At 38.4% G+C, this 22,331-nt stretch overlaps 1 protein-coding gene across 6 annotated transcripts in view; it reads left to right on the top strand.

The window, feature by feature from the left end:
- NKAIN3 (sodium/potassium transporting ATPase interacting 3) overlaps positions 1–22,331 on the top strand; it is a 750,799-nt gene that overhangs the window by 383,355 nt on the left and 345,113 nt on the right. Inside the window, exon 4 of one of the 6 annotated variants that reach the window (XM_047421721.1) lies at positions 1,980–4,404. The exons of the other annotated variants lie outside the window; for them this stretch is intronic. Within the exon in view, the coding sequence (XP_047277677.1) occupies positions 1,980–2,051 (72 nt within the window). The 3' untranslated portion in view covers positions 2,052–4,404. Of the gene's footprint in view, positions 1–1,979; positions 4,405–22,331 lie in introns of those variants that run through there. 6 annotated transcript variants of the gene reach the window in all.

Consider the following 22,331-nt stretch of genomic DNA (forward strand, 5'->3'; position numbering starts at 1 on the left):
ATTCCCACATCTATCTCCATATTTCTAACATAACATTTATATATTTTTAATATAATCTGCTAATATGAAATTTTTGTGTCTTCAAAAATTGAAGTGCTTATTAACCCTTTAGAGAACACAACTGAGAAATGCTGGACTAGAGTATAAAATGAAAATATCAAGATACCTTTTACATATATTATTATAAACCTTGTATAATTTTCTTCCTTCAAATCTGAGCAGAAAACAAAGTTTCTCTGGGTTTGAAGTAGAAAAGTTATTTGAATAGTAATCTTTTAAGATAGTTGATTTACAAATGTCTTTTTTTTCTTTGAGATAGAATCTTGCTCTGTCACTCAGGCTGGAGTGCAATGGCATGATCTCGGCTCACTGAAACCTCCACCTTCCAGGTTCAAGCGATTCTCCTTCCTCAGCCTCCCGAGTAGCTGGGATTACAGCCGTGTGCCACCATGCCTGGCTAATTTTTGTATTTTTAGTAGAGACGGGGTTTCACCATGTTGGCCAGGCTGGTCTCAAACTCCTGACCTCAGGTGATCCACCCCCCTCGGCCTCCCAAAGTGCTAGGATGACAGGTGTGTAAAAATGTCTTTAATTAAGAATTAAGTTTAAGTGTTCCTGAAGGATCATGCTTCTCACAGAGAGAGTACATTCACATGCTGATTTTTAGTAAATTTAATAAAAATATGCCCCTAAAATATTGTTTTCTGCCTAGGGGAAATGCCCCATCTCTATTTTATGCTGCAATGCTTGCCCTGGGAATGGAGGCAGAGTGGCACTTGGCTGCAGAGGCACAGCAGGGTGGATCAATGGTTCCTTGTTTTGGGTGTGTAGAGGCCGTGAAGTATGGGATTAGAGCAGGGCCTTGGGAGCCTAATACTCCTAACTACAAATCCTTATGCTGCCACCTACTAGCTACGTGATTGAGAGTTACTGAATCTCTTTTAAGCCTCAGTTTCTACATCTGTAAAATGAGGAAAAATTAATTCGCACCTCGCAGGACTGTTATGAACATTATCATTTTAGAATATTTTGAAAATGGGAAAATAAAACTAGTTTTGAAGATTCACCCTCACCTTATTTTCCATATGACTATGTCTTTTGCGTTGTTATTGATAACCCTGTCTGTCACTAACATAGGGTCCTGAATGCTTACTATCTCAGTAATCTGTTCTTGGACGGGGGATTTGTATATACATTTATGGTTCTGACTTACTTGTCAAGTCACATGTTTCTGCATTGGGCAGTAAAATACAATAGTAACAATAATAGTATTCACCATGCCAGGCCCCTGCATATGTTATTTCTCATCTGCATGACAGCCCCCACAGGGCAGGCATCAGTGGCTGCAGGAGAGAGGGGCACCACAGATAACAGAGAGAAATAGTGAGCTGGAGGGCAGTCTATGAAATGCCTGGTGAAGTCGTGCCCACAACCTTTTGGGAACAAAGCTGCCAAAAGTCCAGCTCATCTTTGAGCACAGATGCCACGCTGTCTGTCATGGACCCCTCCAACTTCAGCCACCTTATTGAAGGCCAACGTGTCTCACACTGGCAGAACCCCACCTGTTAGAAACCCCTGAGGCCTTTGCTTAGCTTTTGGAGGGGGAAAGAATATGAAGAAGGCAGCCATTCCTACAAGAGGTGCCTGTCATTTCTGGTAACCTCCCCACTTCTCTGTCCCTTCGCATCTAAGAGAGTACAGCTGATGCGGGCAATAAGGGTAGGAGGGTTCAGTATTAACTTGTAGATTTTGGACTATCCTTCCTCTCTCTAAAACACAAACAAAAAATAGGGTGAATGTAGGCATGTATGCTCAATTTAACTGAAACCAAGGAATAAGAAATGCAATTGAAACCAGCCCAATTGTCTCATAGAACATATATTTATGGTTTCTGTTGAATAAACATAGAAATTGACCCTCCCCATCTTAAAACTTGAGAAACTTACAAATGTCTTATCTGAGGTTTTTTTTTTCCTCAGGAAACCAACAATCAGGCCTCCCACATAGATCAAGGAATTGAAACTTACCAGATCACTTCATCTGGACAATGAGATACTAGACACCTTACCCATCATGAGTGCCTAAGCGACCACCTGCTATTGGGTTACCAGCTCCTCTTCCATATCCCTCCCTAATTCCTGTTTTCCCACACATGATTACATTTCTTTCCAGCTATACAAACTCTTAATTTTAGTACATTAGGGAGATGGATTTGAGACTGACCTCCCTTCTCCACAGCTGCAACAACCAATTAAAGGCTTCTTCCCTGGCAATACTTGTTCGTCTCAGTGATTGGCTTTCTGTGCAGCAAGCAACAGGACCTAGACCAAACCCCTGGCATTGTGATAACATAATTACATAGACAACTGTTATTCTCAGAAAGTTTTGTCCACAAAGAGTAGTAGCTGCACTTCTCAGAGATGGGAAGAGGTGGGCCCTGGTGGGGCTCTGCAGGGACAGCTAGGAGAGGAGAGACAGAGATGGAAAGGAGCAAAGTCATGCTTGCATGGACTTGTGGTGAAAATTCTCCAAAATTGCCTTTAAACAAAGAAGAGAAAGAGGAGGGTGAGTGAATGGAGTTACTTGTATGGGATAAACCAAACAAGAATGGACTTTATAACTGGCCTTGGAACAGCATGGTGAACATGGAGAGAGAAGAGAAAAGAGGAAGAGAAGCAGGGAAAGTAGAAAGAAGGAGGAGAAAAAAGACAGAAAGAAAACTTAGGATGCTGTTTTACATAGGAGGCTAAGCTCAGAGAAGGAAAAGATAAAAGCTCAACATTCATAACAAGACAAGAGAGAACCTGGGGATTCTAATTTACCTGGGGGGTCGGGGGCATGGGTCAACCATGAGAAAGTGGGCATGAGGGAGGAAACAAACATCACCTCTGCAGAGACCTTAGGCACTGGAGGGACTGTGACAGGGTATGGACTGCATCCGAAGAATAAAAAATAAATCAAAGATCAAATAAACCAGGCAAACACAGGAAACACCTGAAAAATATTTTAAATGCTCTAAATACATGCCTTGCTACATGAGATAGTGTCTAGTTGTGAGCTCTCTCAATCATTATTTTACTCTGAGCTTTCCATAAATTGTAGTATGAAACATATATACATATGAAGAGATTCTGATGATAAAAGGCCTGATTTGTGAAAGTTTGAGGTAACAATTGCAAAGTCAAATCCTGTGCTTCTTAAAGGAGGGTCCTCCCTTCCACCAGCTGGTGACCTCGGGAACTTCCTTCTGCACAGCATGCCTGAATGGATTTATTGTTGGGAACTGCTTAGGAAAGTGCTATGGTCAGGAGATTTTTTTCCACCCCAAAATTAGTATGTTGACAGCCTAACCCCAAGGTGATGGTATTAAGAGGTGGGACCTTTGGAAGGTGATCAGGATTAGTGTCCTTATAAAAGAGACTGTGAGAGGGCTCCCTTGCCCCTCCTGTCATGTGAAGATAGAGTGAGAAGGTGCTGTCTATGAACCAGGGAGCAGCCCTCACAAGACACCAAATCTGCATGAACCTTCATCTTGGACTTTCCAACCTCCAGATATGTGAGAAATAAATTTTGTTGTTTATAAGCCACCAGACCATGGTATTTTGTTATAGCAGCCTAAATGGACTACGACAGAAAGTTTTATCATATTCCCATATTGTTGTCTCTTAATGATACTAATCAGTGACAGAATTTTAGCAGAAGCCTTACTATAATTTGGAAAAATCCAAGACAAAATATCTGAGTGGTGACTTTGCCCTGTCTACACAGAATAGACCACTGCCCAAGCAGTCTGCATATACAAGTTCAGTCTGCACCAAGTTCAGAATGGAGCCGTGTGATAAGAAACTCAAATCAAAGTGATGGTAGCTGAAGATGATTCCAGCTGGCAATGAGAAAATATACAACTGATTTTATTCCTTCTTACAGTTTCAAAAATAGATTGAAGTTGAGAATTGTACTTTGAGAAGGCCAAGTTTCCAGCTCTTAATAACTAACTTATTTACTGTACTCATTTCACAGTCTGTGATGCAGCAATCCACAAAATATTCTATATCAGTCTCATGATGAACTATTAAATGAAGGGACATACTCATTTTTTGAGTTTCCAAAAATTATAGAAATAAGGTAGCCTGTGAAGACTTACATACACACATGCACACACATACACACATATATATACCCTTAAGCACACATGCTATCAATAGCTCTCATCAGAATTTTCCTAGTATAAGTTATTAACAATGGTGTAAAATGGACAATAATGTTTCTCCTTGTACTTTCAAAAGATGAAATTTACAGTAGTAAAGAGCATATTTTAAAATACAAATCTCTGAACAATGTTGAGGTTGAAAATTCATGCCCATGGCAATGCCAAGGCAAAATAAAAGGTCTCGTAGAGAATAATCTTGTGTTTGTGTATTGTAAGTACCTCTAGGGGAGCATTTTAGTGGGCATACTTTCATTGATGAAACTTCTTTTTCTAGTCAGGAATTTCCTCACACATAGAGAACTGAATTAATTTTATACTGATATTGTAAACAACAAAAAATCATGTCACTGGTATACAGTTTGCTACAAAACTTAGAAATCCCAATTAATCTTATGTTCATACTGTATAATAATAGTAATTAGTGATGTTAAATTGATATTTGAAAATGCCTAATAGTTACCTAAACTCATTTTATTGTGATTAACTCTATACTCTCTCACTTATAATTGCTTGAAAGTTGAATTTTTGCTTCCTTGTAGTAAATGAGCTTTCTTATTTTACGTGAAAATTTTTTTTCCATTTCACATGTATAACTACAGCTATCAGTTTTTTCTGAAAAGTGGGAATCCATTATTTTTTTGGAAAGGTATGGTTTCAAGTTTATGACTCTGTTGACAAAACAATTTTTAAATAACAAAATCTAACAGCAGACATAACTAGGTATGAAACAAACATTTGCCTCTAATGGATAAAGTTCAGTGTCTCTCCCAAAGACTTTTCATCCTTTCCATTTCCTGGCATCTTTGAAGAACATCCCTGAGGCTGCTCTGAGTTCCTAGTGACACCCCTTAATGCATGGATCAAGCAAGCCGTGGAGGAAACACAGCACCTGGGCAGTAGGATGCCCATGCAAATAAATGAGCTTCCTATCTCTGCAAACCTTGCTGGACCAGGTGGTTTTGCTCTTTTCTGGCCCCGCAAGTAAACTGCAGTAAGGAGACACTAATCAGTTTACTGCTGAGAAATTGGAAGCTCTTTCAGCCTGAAGTGTCTTACACAGAAAAAAATAATAAAGCCAAGCAATAATGCTCCCAGGGAATGTTCTCTTTATCTGTATTTAGTGTTCCATCACTAGGAATCCTTAGTCCTTTGTTGCTACTATTAGACGAGCCTAAATGGACTTCCAGGCTTACTTCATTTGACTCAAGGGGGTACTAGAATTCCTGGGCATTTGTCATTAATTCATTTGGGAGATTCAAATTGCACAGCGATGGTTCAAATAGTACAGCAGAAAGAAGCCTCCCAGGGCTTGGCTGGATGCCTCCGGTGTCTGGGGCCTGGGAGTGGGGTCCTTCTGTCCCACACATGAGAGTGAGGCCAACGAGGGGAGATGAGGAATAAGAACACACAGGAACATGTAAGGTCAGGTTCCACAAGGTGAGATATGCAACCTATTTTATGTTGACCCCTCTGCCTATAACACATTATAAACACCATTCTGGGAAGGCAGAGAAATGTACTTATGGCAGTTCTTCATTCATTCCTAAAGGACTCGCCAGTTGATTCACTATCTCTGGGGGCTTTAATATTCTAAAGCTGTGGAACAGCTCACAGTGTATGAATAACATTTTCTGCCTTGTGGAAATATGTAAAATCTTGGAAATGTGACTTCCTCCAACTATGAGTGTTCCTAGTATGTTTGACTCCTGTTTAAAGACCTTGCAAAGAAAGTGAATGATTGGCTCATGCTAATAAGGTTTGCAAGCTCCTCAGGGAAACAAAAAATTAAGCAGTGATGGTAGGAGGAGGACTGATTTTGGATAAAAACCCATCTCCACTGTTTTTCTCACACTTGTCATTTTGAAAAAAACACTTTCTCCATTTTTCTTATTAATCCTCAACCTCATGGCAGGGTTTCCTAATCTGAGAAGTACATTCTACATATGTAGAACATACAGGGACTAGTGTTGCAGAGCAGTACTTTCAAATGAGAGTCACAGAGAGGCAAACAAAGCTAGAGACAGGATATGGTATGTATCATCAACACTTGACTTACACCCACCATTCAAAATCTTCTGTATTATCTTGGCAACTTGTGATTGAAACGTCTACATGCCCTTGGAGGAGTAGATTTAATGAGAAGAATAACTATTGTGTGGGTGCAGAACTAGAGTGTATCTTCGTCTCCTTTACCCCAAATGCCAAAAATGGCATCACTTATTAGTATTGCTGATGCTGTTTCTTTTTTTCAACACTACCCCAATTTAATACTTACAAAAAAAGCCAGCCCATTCCTACTGCTATTGATTTAACCCTGACCCCACAACCATATATATTCCTTCCCTAAACCCCAGTATAGCTTTTGTGTACCTCAGTCACCAGTATTCTGTAAGTGCAGCGGTAGATAGGTCTTGTAATCCCAAATGTTCACAAAAGAGACTAGGGGCTTGACAATCTCTGTGCTCCTCCCAAAGGCAATTCTGGCCTCATTGTTTGTTTTCTTAATGTAGTGTTCTAAACTAATTCAGACTCTTTTACACCTAGGCTTTTCTAGAAAATTGCCCTGAAGAAATTTGTAACTTTCTCTGCAAGTGTACTATCTCATCACTCTTCTTACATCTCAAAATTAGAAAAAAAGAACTCAAAACCTCACACTATGCCCTTTGATTTAAAGTCAGGGAACTGAGTGAGATCACTGTAGGCTGAGGCAGACAGACACAGGAAAGCAGACAGAGAATAGAAGGGGACCAATGTTTGAGCCCTGGGAACTCCAAAATATGGAAATTGCTTTGGGAAGAAGCTTCCAGTGAGATATAAGGAAAACCAAGAGAGTGTTGATGTGGAGGCCAAGAGAAGAAAGTAATTCCAGAAGAGAGGTGGCCAACCATGTCAAATGCTACTAGAAGTTCCAATGAGATAAGGTTAGAAAATAGACCACCAGATTTGACAAAATGAAACCCATGTGGCTAGAGAGACAGAAAAGGAATGAAACTCACAGGGTTTGGAAGGAATCCCTCTCAACAAAGAGAGATGAGGACAAAATGAAAAAGGAGTAACTTGCTTGGAAGAGTTGTACAGAAAAGAGCTGAAAAGTGAGGCAGTGCCCAGAAGACATAGTTTACACGGAGTTTTTGGTTTCTTATTTGTATTATGTACAGACAATATTAAAGCATAATTGCAAGTCGAGGTTGTTGTTGAGAAAAAGAAATTGACCTTGCAAAAGAGAGGGGAAATCATAAAATCAAGATTTTTGAGTGGATTAGAAGTGATAAAAATAGACAAGTTGGTCATCAGCAGGAACAAGCAAAAAGAGAAAAGGGGGAGGATGTGGGTGCAGAGAGTATAAATTTGAGTTAGTTTAGTGATGAGAAGTGAAGTGGTTTTTTTCTGATTACTTCCCTTTTTATTAATAAGGAATGAGGGGGGCCATAACTGATGAGGAAAAGAGCTTTTGGACACTGAGGAGAGAAATATAAGTCAATAATCATCTTGGAGAATGGGAACACAAATGTACCAGGAAATTATAGTAGGACTTCTAAGCTTTACCAAATGTCCATTCAAACTTTGTAGTCATAAATTTAGCCCTTATCTCTAATTTGACGTTTAGCACTGCATCACATTATTACTAACCATTTTGTATGTGAAAATCATATTTTTCCCAATCATTTACAAGTTTCTCAAAGGTGGAATCCCAAGGTTGTACTAATTGGTATCTTCTCCAGGGCATACTTCCGTGACCTGGCAAGTAGGTGCCTGATATGGTTTGGCTTTGTATCCCCACCCAAATCTCATCTTGAATTGTAATCCCCACATGTCAAGGAAGAGACCTAGTGGGAGGTGATAGGATCACGGGGGCGGTTTCCCCCATGCTCTTCTCATGATAGTGAGTTCTCATGAGATCTGATGGTTTTATAAGGGGCTCTTCCCCCTTTGCTTTGCCCTCTCTCTCACCTGCCGCCATGTAAGACGTGTGTCTTCCCCTTCTGCCATGATTGTAAGTTTCCTGAGGCCTCCCCAGGCATGAGGAACTCTGAGTCAATTAAACCTCTTTTCTTATAAATTGCCTAGTTTTGGGTAGTATCTCTATAACAGTGTGAGAATGAACTAATACAGTATCTCATAAAGATTTGTGAACTTTCAGATTGAAGACTGAATTTACCATTGTGAATTAAATGCCTGAGGAGATGTTTCTAGCCCTTCTTTCCTCTGCCCTGACCCATATTAAAAGAGGTATTCATAGAAATCATTGCTCTTTTTCCTCTGCGCGCACCCAGCCTGGCAAACACGTCTGGCTTAGCCCTCATATCACTAAAGGTATCCGTGGGATTCCTCTGAGCACCCCAGAGGTGGGTCTAAATTCTCCATCTACTCAAATATGTCCTCTACTCATCGAATCTGGTCTAGGACCTGAAGAAGCACTGGTGTGAGGTGGCTGTTTCTAGTTTCTTAAATCGAAGCTGAAAACTAGGGCCAGTTCTATTCAGTCATGTTTTTGTGTCCACATTCTTTAACCCCAGTAATGTCTAACCCTCAGCATTATGGTAGTAAAAGTCAGACACTGTGCCTGAGAAATAGAAAAGCCTCATTTATTTATTTTTTTTTTTTAGTCCCTTGCTTCTCAAAGTTGGTCCTAACACCAGCAGCACAAGTACTATCTTAGAGCTTATTAGAAATGCATCTTGGTTCTTGGGTTCATGGATTCACTCCAGACCCACTGAATCAGAATCTACACTTTAACAAGATGCTCAGATGATCCTTACACCACCAAAATTTGATAAGCACTCTTCTAGATGATAAAAGAAGCTCCCAAATACAGTTATGTAATTGTGCTAACAGAAAGCTTTGAAAAATAAATGAAAATTTTAATAATTGCTTTGATTTTTGTTCATAAATAAAGACACACTCTATTGCTGTGTGTCTTGCTGGACCTAAGGAACAGAAGGATTTTTTGATAGCTGTCAGGAAAGCTGAACTCTGTTTAATGTAGGCTGACTCTTCCATGTAATTGCAGCTAAAAAGTTAGCTATGAAATACCTTATCACAATAACAGAAATGCTCTCAGTAATCCATAAATTCTTTGTAGCACATTTGCTTTTTGTAGGTTTTTGATAAGTGGTTGGGAGGACAACCAGCAGTCAGAAAAACATCTGTATTCTTTAAGAGCCTGACTCTAGACAGACTCAAAATTCCTGGACACAGAGAAATGTTTCCTGGGCATTCAGATGCTACTTAGCAAGTTAAATAGCTCATTGATTGATAAAGTGAGAGGCAAGATTAGGAAGGGGTTAGTTATCTGAGTAACCTATTCTTGAATATGGAAATCACATAATTATTTTCAAGAGAATGTGTGTGAGAACGAATAAATGAAAAAGTTAGATATAGCTTTTTTTCTGTGCTACAAATCTTATATGTTTATTGAAAGTCTTTTCTCTAAGACTATGATGCATTTGGCTAAGATTAATTTCAGAAATTTTACCTGTATTTTTAATCTCATTTAGAAATGAATAGTAGCCATAAAAGAGGCCCTTATTGACTGCCCAGAGTGGTGGGTCACAAGGTAACATGTTCTGAGAATGCTGGGATGCAACCTGCCAAGAGATATATGGATGAAACAAATCAGACCATGCAACCGCACTGCACTCCTGGGAAAAATGCTTTTTAAAAAAATAAAGATAATACATGTTTTTTATTTAAAGTTTAGAAGTTGAGAAAATAACGATGACAAAAACAATGCTCCTACACCCATCTGTTCTGAGCTTACCACTTGAAACCCATTATTGAAATAGAAACCAGTTTGTCACTGGTAAGCTTGAGGTTCCTACATGTCACCATGTAGCATGACATAGCAGAACTGTCATCGAAACCTCAGTCAGAATTTTGTATTTCTCAACAAAACGTATACCCATAGGATACTAATGGGCACAGTCCATTACAAAGACATAATATCATTTTCTATATTTATTATCATAACACATTCTCACACCTATAGAGTAGTTTGTATTTAATATTGTCTTTTAGGCTTCTGATTTTGACATTGGATAATGTTGGTGCTGACCTCTGACTGCCAGGTTCTCAAAGGACAGCCTCATTTTTATAATTTATTCCCCCTTTCTTGGTCTCTTGGTACAATGCTAAACAATATAATGCACAAAGCAAACAAAGCAAATAACTGAATATACACCTTTTTGCTCTATCTGGTAAGGCAAATATACCCACTTAATTCACACCTTAATAATTTATTTTAAAAAATGTTAATCTCTTTTCTTTAGGAGCTTTTCCCTTGGCTCCTTTTCCTGCAGACAAAGTAGGTAGTTTACTTTGTCCAAAGTCGTGTTAAGTACAAATGAAATAATGATGAGCTTTATGTAGGCAGATTCCTCCCTCCTTTTTATATATTACCATTTTTCTCAATTAGTTTATATGCTAACATATTGTAAACAGAAAGACTTGTTAGTAAATACAAAAAGAGGCATGCATTTTCTATAATAAGATTGAATAAAATAAAAAATTTATTGGAACTATCTGAAATTTATATATTATTAAGCACAAAAGGGACACCTTCAGGTTTTTGTTCAGATCATAATTTTGGAGCATTTTTTGGTTCTAGAAATAAATGGAAATGACCAATGAATGTTAGTGCTAAAAGAATCCTTTGATAGCATCTTTTTTTGGCCTTTCTTTAAGATAACTTGGCACCAGAATAATAAAATAATGTAACCACATTTATTCAATTAGAGTATAGTGGTTTAAATGCACAGTTGTATTTTTTTCACCTCCAGTATAGTAACATTATTCTACAAGTTAGATATGACTTTACAAATTTAATGTGCTAAGAATAAAAATAATGCACAATCAGCTAGGAAGTTAACACACTAAAACATAACTTAAAGAGGTGAAGAGTAACTTGTCCAGGAGTGATTTTCTGCAGGCTGGCCTCCCAAAGGAGGAGTTGGCAACATATAAGTCTCCAAGAAAATTGGCTAAAGCTGAATGTCCAAGGCAGTTAATCCTAGTTGAATACCGATGTGGAGAATTGGGCCCAAAACCCACTATATCATAGGAGCTGCAAGAGTCAAGCTTTGATCCTGCCCTCTGATCATGCTGGGAACAGAGCTGTTGGTTCCCTGATTGTGCAGCTTAATCCAAGGCCTGGATCCCCTCTCCACATTCCCTATATCTGAAGGAACTGTGGATTCCCTGTCTCAGAACATAGGGGGCAATAGGGACCTGCACAACTGTTCCTCAAATAAACCCTGCTTCAGAAGGTCCATTGTGTGTGCTTTTGTTGCACAACATCCACTTGTGGAATTTTCCTATCCACATTCCGAACGTTACTAAGCATGCCTTTCTATCTCTTAAGAGCTTTTCTTGTTCTTATATATAAGTAGTTGGATCTCTTGTTGTTTTTTATATATAAGTTGTTGGATCTCTTGATGTTTTAATAAAGTAATTGTTGTGATGCAAAATTTCTTTCACTGAAATGCCAGATATCTTCCACTTGATTTTCACCCTTCTCTTTCCCCTAAATGCTCAGACTACATTTTCATGGATTCTATTAAAGGACACCCATGCTCTCTGGGTTCCAGTTAGTTTTGGTGAATAAGAAGACCCAGTAATGGATGGAAAAGAAAGAGGAAGATGAAGCCAGGGATTTTATTCTCCCAGCTTACTCTTTATGAAACCACTTCAGGCTGCTGGGGTCCCTTGACTTCATGCCATTGCTCCATGTGGTTCTTTCTGGCTAAACTCTCACTCTCTTAGTCCCTTCAGCTTTAGGAGGGGTGACATCCTCACTGCTCCTGCTGCTACTAGGCTCCTGCACCATTCTTTGTAGTTCCCGTAGGTCTTTTTATTGTCTTTATGATTATTCTCTTTGCAAACAAAGGTCTCCTCAAAATATCCTGACTTCAGTGTACCATCTTTTCTTTTTGGGACCCTGATAGATACAAATAAATTAGGTGCAACATCCTGATTAAGAAATATAGTTAGATCTTTTTTTGAAGAAGGCTAATAGTGTTTTTTTTAAGCCTTTCAAAATGACACTTTTAGACTACCCAAATAATAAATCTGTGTTTAATATGTCTACCCTTATATCTATCTCTACACCTATATCCACAATTTTCTGGAAATTCAGAACTACTACTTTTAGGAACTTTTTAAAGGTTAGGTGAATCAGATGTTCACATAATGAAGTCTGTGGAAAGGACAACTATAGATTGGTTAGCTTTGGTTGTGACTAAAAGGTTAAGTAGTGGCGGCTTATTGATTATAAATATTGACTGGCATTTTCTTTAATAATACTTTTGATTTTTGATGGTTCCTCAGAAATTAATATGTATTTGGAAGGTCTTTAATTTTCATCATCCACAGCACCTTGCACAGTGTTAAGCACAAAACAGATGAGTAATAACTGGTTGCTGATCAATTTGTTTGCATAATTAATTGCTTGTGCAGTTGTCTGCATTCTACTCTGTTGTTTTTTATGCAGGCAGGCCATCCATAGCTATATCATCTCTGGAAAATGTGAACTCTGTTGCATTTTTTCATTCAATAGATTAAAGGAACACCCAGAGGGAAATTATGTAGCAAATATTACTTGTTGGAAAGGTCTTTAACTTTGCTTGATTAGGTTATCTGTCACCTAAGTCAAATCGCAGTGGTCTCTTGATGATCTGATTCCAGCGCTAATTCAGAGCCAGCAGGGGAGGTGGAGCCAAAGAGTGTAAGAATAGAGCTTGGGTGGCTGTTAACAGCGGACCACTCTTCAATGGATTCAGATCACAGAATTGAACAGCAGGAAAATAAGGATAGTTCTGGGGCAAAGCCAAATCTGCAGTTCTTTGAAGCTATTGCATGTTTATACTTTGGACAAAACCTTCCTTTTACCCCAAATTTTTATTCTATATTTTTGCAGTTTGTAAGTAGAGAAAAATCCTACCAGATACTATGTGAATGACAGAATTTATTTATGACTCTGTGATAAATGTAATGAAGTCATACTGCTTTTGGAAAGGGATAGATGTAGGGAGAATACTCAGTTTTGCTGAGGCTTAATTTAAATATTAATTAGGATAACTATCCTTAAAGTAATCAAGAAGTAAAAAGGCTGCCTGTACAACAACCACAAACTACAACTTTTAAATCCTTCCCCTTTTAAAATCAGATACAACAGTGGATTGAAGATTTTTTAAATTAATCAAGTGTATATGAAGTGACAGATTATGTGAAAGCTCAAAGGTCTTCTCTTAAGTAGAATTTTGGGAGGGATTTTGTAAAGGGCATCATTACTGCTGAGCACCAACTTTGTTTTGGGCATTTAAACATCTATTGGGGCTTTCATCCTCAGCTACTGCTCTTATCAGTCCAATTTTGTGATGCAGATCATCTGAGATTCAAACTTTCCCTTGTTTAGCCCACAAAGCAATTTTTAAGAAATTCAAATTTTCAATTGCTTAGCTCACAAAACAACTTTCAAAAACTATGTTCTGGTTAATTTAGGTACCCATTCATATGAAATTATATTCTACTTTCCGAAAATAATACTGCTCTCAAAATGTGTTTTCTAGTTGATTATTAAATCTCAAAACTTATTACTTTGAAATACATACCAAAATCTTTGGAGATGGAGTTATTATATTGCAATGGCTATTATATATAATAACTATTATATATCATAGATGCAATGGCCTAAAAATCAAATGGCGTTTTCCCTCATTCTGGAAAAAAAAAAAAAAAAACAGATGCAGATGTTCTGCTGCCTGGACATCTCTGGTCATGTGTCTTTCCATGAAACAGTTTTATCCTCCCATCCCCCATACCAACCACAATTAAGAGGTTTAAATAAAATAAAACTAAGAAAGTGAATTTTTAGAGATGTAACCTAGTCCTGCTAATAATGTAGGAGGCATTCATTTACATTCAAAACTGCAAAACAGAGCAGAGAGTTAGGTTTGGAATCTGTGCTTGTGGAGCCTTTTCATTTACTCACCCAACTCCAAATAAGTCATTTAAGATACTAAAGAGAACTAGTGCAGAAGATGATATGCTTAGACATAAAATATATCCTTATTTGAACCTATAATATCCTGTTCTGAACATAAAACTCAAATGTAAAATTTAATTCTTATGTTTCTAATGTTTATAATAAACCACTGTATTTATCCACTTTGAACAGGCTTAGCTTTTGCATAAAGTTGATTTCTTTGCAAATCTATTCCATTAAACAATTTTCATTCATAATATGAGCCCGTATTACATTTTGTAACCCTAAAAATCACCATCGGCATCTTCTATTCAACAGATAATAAGTTGTAAACAGAGCAAAAACTATTACGGAAACCATGCATATAACATGTAAAGTAACAGTATCAAATAAAATAAAAAATGACCAAAAATATTTTAAAGGTACAGTAGAACAGGCCAATCACAAAATAAAAACTCCAAGATAGACAATCATGGAAAGAAATGGTACTGAATGTCAGCTCCAAGATGCATCAATGAGTAAAAAGATGACTTGTGCCCCCAGCTCCCAGCACAAAGGCCCTGGCAAGCAACTTGGATGAGTTCTTAATTTACTCACTTGCTATGAAGTCAATTCTTAAAGACCGTGTGTGGGTTTTTACACTCTGTATTTCACCAAATATTAGAATGTAAGACAGGAAGACAAACGTTGAGATTCATAACAATAGCATTCACATCTACATATGGTAATTTCTTAGAGCTATTCAATGAAAACTTCCACCTCGGAGCTGACATCTTAGAATTATTTTGATACCATCCCTTGCGATTCTGTAAGCAAAGTTGTTAAGAGTCTGCAAAGGCATAAATGCATAGAGCAGTTGTCTAAAATTCTTGAGAGAAAATAGTAAATGTTCTGGGACTCCATGCAGATGAAAAGCAAAGTGGCAGAACTACTTTTAAAGTTGTTCATCCATTAGGCTAATCTCTAAGCCAATCAGGTTCTGAGGAAAGCAATTATGAGCAAGGTGGACAGAGAACTTGCCTAAGACGGAAAGGAGAATTCAACAGTATCTCTGATTAAGTGCTTTAAGTGCTGTGAGAACAAATCTACAGGTGCGGTGTGGGTTTGGCAGGGATCTCCGACCTTAACTAGGAAAGGGGTGGGGATCCAGAAAGGCTTCCTGGACGAAGGAATATCCACGGGGAAACCTGAAGGATTAGCAGAAGTTAGCAAAGTGGAGAGGAGGGAGGACTGTTTTAAGGAGAGGAAATAGCTTACTCAGACTCAGAGGTGAGAAAGAACATGGATCCAAGAGAAAATAAAAATTCAGTAGGGATGAATGAAGCCTGAATCCCCTCGATTGCCGAAAGGCAAGAAGTGAGCCTGGAGATGAAGTTAGGGAATAAGGCATAAAATCTAAAGTAAGTTTCATTAAAGCAGTTTTACTTGAGACAAGAGTCTTTGAGATTGATGTTTCAAAGAAACTGCTCCATGCAAAATGGACTGGAGGAATGCAGGTGAGGTAGGCGGATGGCTCGGATTGGTTATGGCAGTGGAGATGGAAAGAACTTGATGCAGGTGGGGTGGATTTAGAGGTAATATCGTCAAGGCCTATGAGAAACAGGATGTACAGAATGAGAAGTAGGAAAGAGTGAGGGACCAAAGTGATTCTCGGGTTTCTGATTTAGACAGCTGGGTGCATGGTGGTGCAGTCACTAAGAAAAACATCAAGGGAAGGGCAGTTTGAGATTAACAGATGGATACGTTTTGGGCAAAATGGGTTGGCAATACTTGTGAGCCGTCCAAGTACTATGTCCTGTAAGACATGGATCCGTGTAGATCCGTGGATCTGGAGCTCCAGAGAGGAACCTGGGATAGAGATGGAGATCTGAGAGTCATGAGATTACAATTGGCGGTTGAATTTTATTGAGTGGGTGTTGTCTCTCTAGAAGAATGTGTGTCGGGAGAAATGACCGAGGGAGAACCCTACAGAGCACCATAAATGTGTGATGAGCAGAGAAAAATAGTCCTATGTCTTAGCCCATGTTCCCTAAGAAGCAAGCTGGAAGCAAAGCTACACGCTAACCCCTTATGGGGGTTGCAGGAGGATACCATGGCAGGATAGAGGAAATAGAAAAATAGAAGTGAGGTAAGAAAGTCAAGAAAGTAAATACACAGGGGTATATCACCTAGTTAGCTTCATAGGAATCACAGCCTGGTGCTCAGTCACTGAGACACTTTCAGGAAAACCTTACCTTACAGAAGGAATCCCCTTAACAAAAAGGTGAATGTACAGTTTGTCTTCCAGCCTCTTCCCTTTTCTTGCCTCTCATTGATCAACATTTGCCTCTTAGCCATTCTAGGGCTTAGTTAATCTAGGCAGCTCTTGGAGAAACCAGAGCCTCCATGGGTCCAGGCTGGTTGAGCCAAGGTGCTGGGGCTTCTTATGCCCTCCCCAAGATGAACCTGAGGGAGGCCTTGCCACAGGTCAGTCAGTAAGCTCTGGAAGAGGCTGAGACAGAGGGTGGTGTTGGGAGATGGAGCAATGGCATCCGGAGCTGGAATTTTGTAAGTTATGCAGTGATGTAAGCCTCAATGGATTCTCTTCAGCCAGGAATTAGAGCAAGCAGTTGATGATCTGAAACAATTTTGGATAATGTGTAAACTGGGTCTGGTATATCCTGTGAAGAAGCCTGAGAATGATTGGTAAGATAAGTGGGAGAAAACAAATAATGCCAAAGATTGAAAGAAAAAAGCATATTTCAAAAATGGATCATCAGTGTCAAATGTTTCTTTCAAATCCAATAAAATAAAAACTGTAATGTCTATTGTGGATTCCTGTGATTCTAGTAAGGTACTTTGATTTTCCTGTGGGAAACCATGCCTTGCCTATTCTTGGTTTATTTGGTTTGGGTTGAGTGAATTCCACCCAGTAATTCCCAGGGTCAGTAAATGGTCCAACTGCAAACAATTGTGAGTGACTCCTCTAAGCATAGGGGTGGCCTGAGCCAAACAGGCCAATGGGACTTCATGCCAGGGATTGTGCTGGAACAATTGGTAAAGAACTGAAGACTGAATATATTTAAATTTTGTGAATAATACCTTTTTCTTCTTAAGCCAAGTAGAGTTGTTTTTCTGTCATTTGTACCCGAAAGATGCCTAATTACTACAGAAGCAAAAAAATCCATTAGATATAATGACAAAGGTTATTGGAGCCCTCAGTAAGGATGGTGTCAGCTGAGCGGTGCTGGCAGAAGTTGGGGGCATTCTCACTGCCTCTTCATCTTCTTTCTTCAACTCTTAAAACACGGTTTTATCTACTTGTGAAAGGAGGGAGGAAAATGAACTAAATGTTTAGAGTGCTCCTGGGAGAAAGCAGAAAACAGTGTTGGCATCTCAGAGCCACCCTCTTCTGGGCCTCACCTGAGGAACAGGTGTGCTGCATTGGGCAGGGGCTGGGGGAAGGTTCCCCAGTGCTTCCAGAGTCCAAACAGGCCCCATCTATTTTAAACAACTGCAAAGTCCCCGTGATAATAGATTTGCTCTTAATTTTCTATTTTTCCCAAGTACTTAATCCTGTGCCAGTGGGCTTTTATTAAATATAGATTCATTTGAGACTCCCCACCTACCTGAGCAAGGATCAGCCCACAAGAATTACTCCATCTGGAGTTCTACAGTTTCTTTCTGATGGCTGAAAAAAAAACTGCATTTTGATTCCAAGTTTGGTCCTTCTCTTCTGGTGACTATAAGGCAGATATATTTATTATCAGTTCTGTGGGATTCTTTGCTTCATCATAACTCTTTATATGAACTTGTAATAAATCTGTCATCACAGTCTCAATTTATTTTCACAACATTTCTCTTATCAACCCTTCTTTCCTACTCAAATTATTTTCTAGAATTCAGGTGCTCACTACTTCTGCCTCGCAATAGAGTAACAATGCTCTAATTGGTCTTGGTGCCTATAGTCACTCTTTGCTCCAATCCGTCATCAAGCAAATAATCCCCAAACTAATTAAATGTGCCAGCATCAGTTAAAGCAGGCAGTGAAAAAACACATTCCTAAATACTCCTAGAGAATTTAATTTATGTTTTCTAAGGACACATTGTCTGCTGTTATTAGTATTAGTTGTGTATGCTTCTGTGTTTTTATTTCTATTCTTCTCGATTGTACATTCTTTGAGGATGAGATGGGTTTTAGTGGATCTCATTTCATAAGTAAGGCAATAAAGATACATTTTCCATAACTAATTATATACCAATATACAGCATGTAGATATTGAGTCCTACATTTCTGATTATCACCAGTTAAGGACCAAAGTATGACGTGGGAATATTGAGCTCTCAGGTAGACCACAGGCTCTTGTCAGATGCCTGCCATTGCTATGCTATTCTCATTATTTTATTGCATAGATGAGGATAGAAATAAAGGTCAGTCCTGGTGCCATATTTTTAAATATATATAGAAAATATATGATTGGCATAAGCACCATTGAGAATATTCTAGAAAAATAATACTTAGCTATTTTATGTTGGCTGAAATAATATTTTCTTTATGAGAAAAATATAAATTTCTATTGCAAGACTTTTTAACAAGAATTCTTTTGTTTTGTTTTTGCATGATCTTAATTGAGCATTTCAAACTGTTTTAAAAATTCAGAGACTCTCTATAAGATGTGTATTTTTTAATAAACCTTCACTTGAGTATAATTTTTATTTCCCATCAGTACCTAAAAGAAAAAAAAAAACTTCTTCGAAAAGATAAAAGGATGCATTTGCAAGATTATTTCCCTCTTAGGAAAAGTGCAATTTTTTACAGAACAATGCTGATACATTTTCATTTTATTCAACTTATAGTTTAATTTTTATTCATATTTTATATTCATATTTGCATGATAAAAAGGTGCCACATTGTTCTTAGCACCTTATATTATTTGATTGCTAAAGAAAGACACCCAAAAAATCAAACAGGAATAAAAAGATTCAAGTCTCATAATGGAGCAATTTGCATTACTCTCTAATCTTCATCTCATTAAATCTTATTGACAGATCATTGTCTTCCTAGTAGAAAGTCTGTGTCTTAGTCAATTCAAGCTGCTATAACAAAATACCAGAAACTGCATGGCATATAAACAGCAGAAATTTATTCCCACTGTTTTAGAGGCTTGCAAGTCCCAGATAAAGGCAACAGCACATTTGGTGTCTGGTGAGGGCCTACTTTTTGGTTCATGGATAGCACTTTTTGTGTTCTCACATGGTGATATGGTTTGGACATGTGTCCCTTCCAAATCTCATATTGAAATGTGATTCCCAATGTTGGAGGTGGGGGTCTGGTGGGAGGTGATTTGATCATGGGGTTGGATCCCTCATGAATGGTTTCACACCATCCCCTTGGTGATAAGCAAGTTCTCACTCAGTTCACATGGGTTCTGGTTGTTAAAGTCTAGGACCTCCCTCCTCCCTTGCTCCCCTTCTTGCTATGTGACATGCCTGTTCTCACTTCACCTTCTGCCATGACTATAAGCTTTCTGAGGCCCTCACCAGAAGCTAAGCAGATGCTGGTGCCATGCTTGTACAGCCTGCAGAACCATAAGCCAGAAAAACCTCTTTTTCATTATAAATTATCCAGTCTCAGGTCATAGCAACACAAGAATGGCCTAACATACATGGCAAAAGGGGCAAGGAAGCTCTCTAGGGTCTCAAAATTTTAGAAGGTCACTAAACCCATAGGGGGTCCATCTCCCTGACCTAATCAGCTCCCAAGGCCCCACTTCCAAATGCCATCATCTTGGGGATTAGGTTTCAATGTATCAATTTTGAGAGGGCTTAAACTTTCAGACCACAGCAGTTTAAGAGAACTATTACTTGGCAATTTTTATGGCAGATCCACAATGTCATTCAACACTTTATGTGATATTATCTCAATAACTTTTGGCCTTTAATATTAGAATAATCATTCAACTTTTAAGAGAATTTGGCATTTAGACCAATTAATAAACTATGCAAAGGCTCTCCCCACACTGGCTGGCTTGTGGCTTGGCTGAAGCACTGCCAGACATAGGTGCGATTAATCATTTGTTCTCACAATAAAGATAACAGTTTTTAGAATTATAAGAAAAGTTTCTCATTCCCATTTTTCTTTATTAGACATAAAGTCCATGTATTCTCCTTTTTAGTAAGATAATTAGCAAAAAAATATTTCTGAGGAGGTTTTAAAGAGGGAGATTATTTGGGGTAAACTGGGAATAGTCTGATATATACCAGCTTGCTGGTTGCTGGTCTGGATCACCCTGGCATATGATGTGGATGCTCAAGCTTTACGACTGCACTTTTTAGTGAAAATAATTTGTGCCAGAGCTCTTCTAAGCACTGTACCTGTAATCCTCCAAATAGCTCTTTGAGGTAAATAGGTAATACTTATTGTTCTTTTACAGAGGAGGAAACTGAGCCACGGACAAGTTATGAACTTGCTCATGGTCCCTCCACCAGTGTTAGAGCAAAGTCAAAACTCAGGTCTGATCCTGAAGCCATAGATCTGAACTACTATGCATTGATAACAAGAGCCTGAAAGAAACAGAACCAGGAAAGGGGGAATGTGATTTTCTTCTTTTGGGCACATTGAACCAAATTCTCTATTGTCATTATGAATTTGTGTTCAGGGCAATAACCCCACCTTGGTTTATTCAGAGTTACTGTGAGATTCTTCTCTGTGTTGGGTACTAGATTAGTCAGCTCAGGCTGCCATAACAAAGTACTATAGACTGGGTTGCTTAAGTAACAGAAATGTATTTTCCCAAAGGTCTGGAGGCTAGAATCTGAGATTAGGGTGCCAGCATGGACAGATTCTGGTGAGGCCCCTCTTCCTGGCTTGCAGAGGGCCACCTTCTGTGTTCTTAAGTAGCAGAGAGAGAGAGAGAGAACCAGAGCAAGCTCTGTGGTTCCTCTTCTTATTAGGGTACTAATCCAATCATGAAGCCCCTACTGTCATGATCTCATCTAAAGCTAATTCTTTCCCAAAGGCCCCACCTCCAAATATCATCACATTATGATGGGCTTCAGTGTAGGAGTTTTGGGGGAGCAGAAGGGACACAGTTCAGTCCATAATAGGTACTCATCCAAGTATTATGGTAGAAAAGTTGAAAAAGATCCAGCTCTTCACTTCAAAGAAATAAAAATATAAGGGGATGCATAAGCAAGTTATTGCAACCTGATAGTTCAAAAATAAAGGAATATACAAGTGTCCTGAAAGGAACAAGGAGGATGCAATTAATTTTGTTTGGATCTTGGGAGCAGGATGGCATCGAAGCAGGGTCTACAGAGGAAGAGACTTTGCACCAAGTCTGGAATATGTGTGGTTGGCTCATGATGAAAAAGGGTCCATCAGCCCTACTGTTCCACTGTGAGAGGGTGGAGTTTGTTACCTGTACGATCTTATTCCAGAATTATTCTACAAAAACAAGAAACCTTGTGATATTCTGGGTTAGGACTACATATAGTCACCCTAGAGAGAAACTCAAAATTGACAAGCATTTTCTGTGGACTCAAGGGTTCTAACCATGGTTTTAATCCCTCATCTTTAATAATATAATTCAAGGGATTACAGATTTTTACAGAAAGCCCTTGAAATGAAGGATAGTGACCTAAACACAGCATAAATAAAACAAACTTAGAGGCAACAGAGATGGTAGAGAAACAAGAAAAGTCTAGGGGACTCCTATCACTAACATCCTAAGAGAAATAAGAGAATATTTTGTAACATCAGCAAAAGAATGAAATGCTTAAAATAATGCAAAAAAAAACTACAATTGAGTTCATAAAAATTAAAAATATTACAGCAGAAATAAAGAATTCAATAAATGAGTCAATAAAATGTTTTTCTCATAAAGACTGGAAGGGAAAGAAAAGGCAAATAGAAAGGAAAAGATAAAAAAGTTAAAAGAATAGTTAAGAAAATCCAACGACTAAATAATAGGAGTTCTAGAAAAAGGCAAGCAGAAAATAATTCAAGAAACTCTCCTAAGACAGGTCATAAGTTGTCACACTCAAAAGCTTCAATGGCTTAAACAAATCCACTGTCGGCACATCACTGTGAAATTTCAGAGCAGTTGGGACAAGAAGATGATACAAGCTTCTAAAGAAAAAAAATCCACTGGTCAACTA

The sequence above is a fragment of the Homo sapiens genome, chromosome 8 (assembly GCF_000001405.40).
Source record: "Homo sapiens chromosome 8, GRCh38.p14 Primary Assembly".
In the NCBI taxonomy this organism is placed as follows: Eukaryota; Metazoa; Chordata; class Mammalia; order Primates; family Hominidae; genus Homo; species Homo sapiens.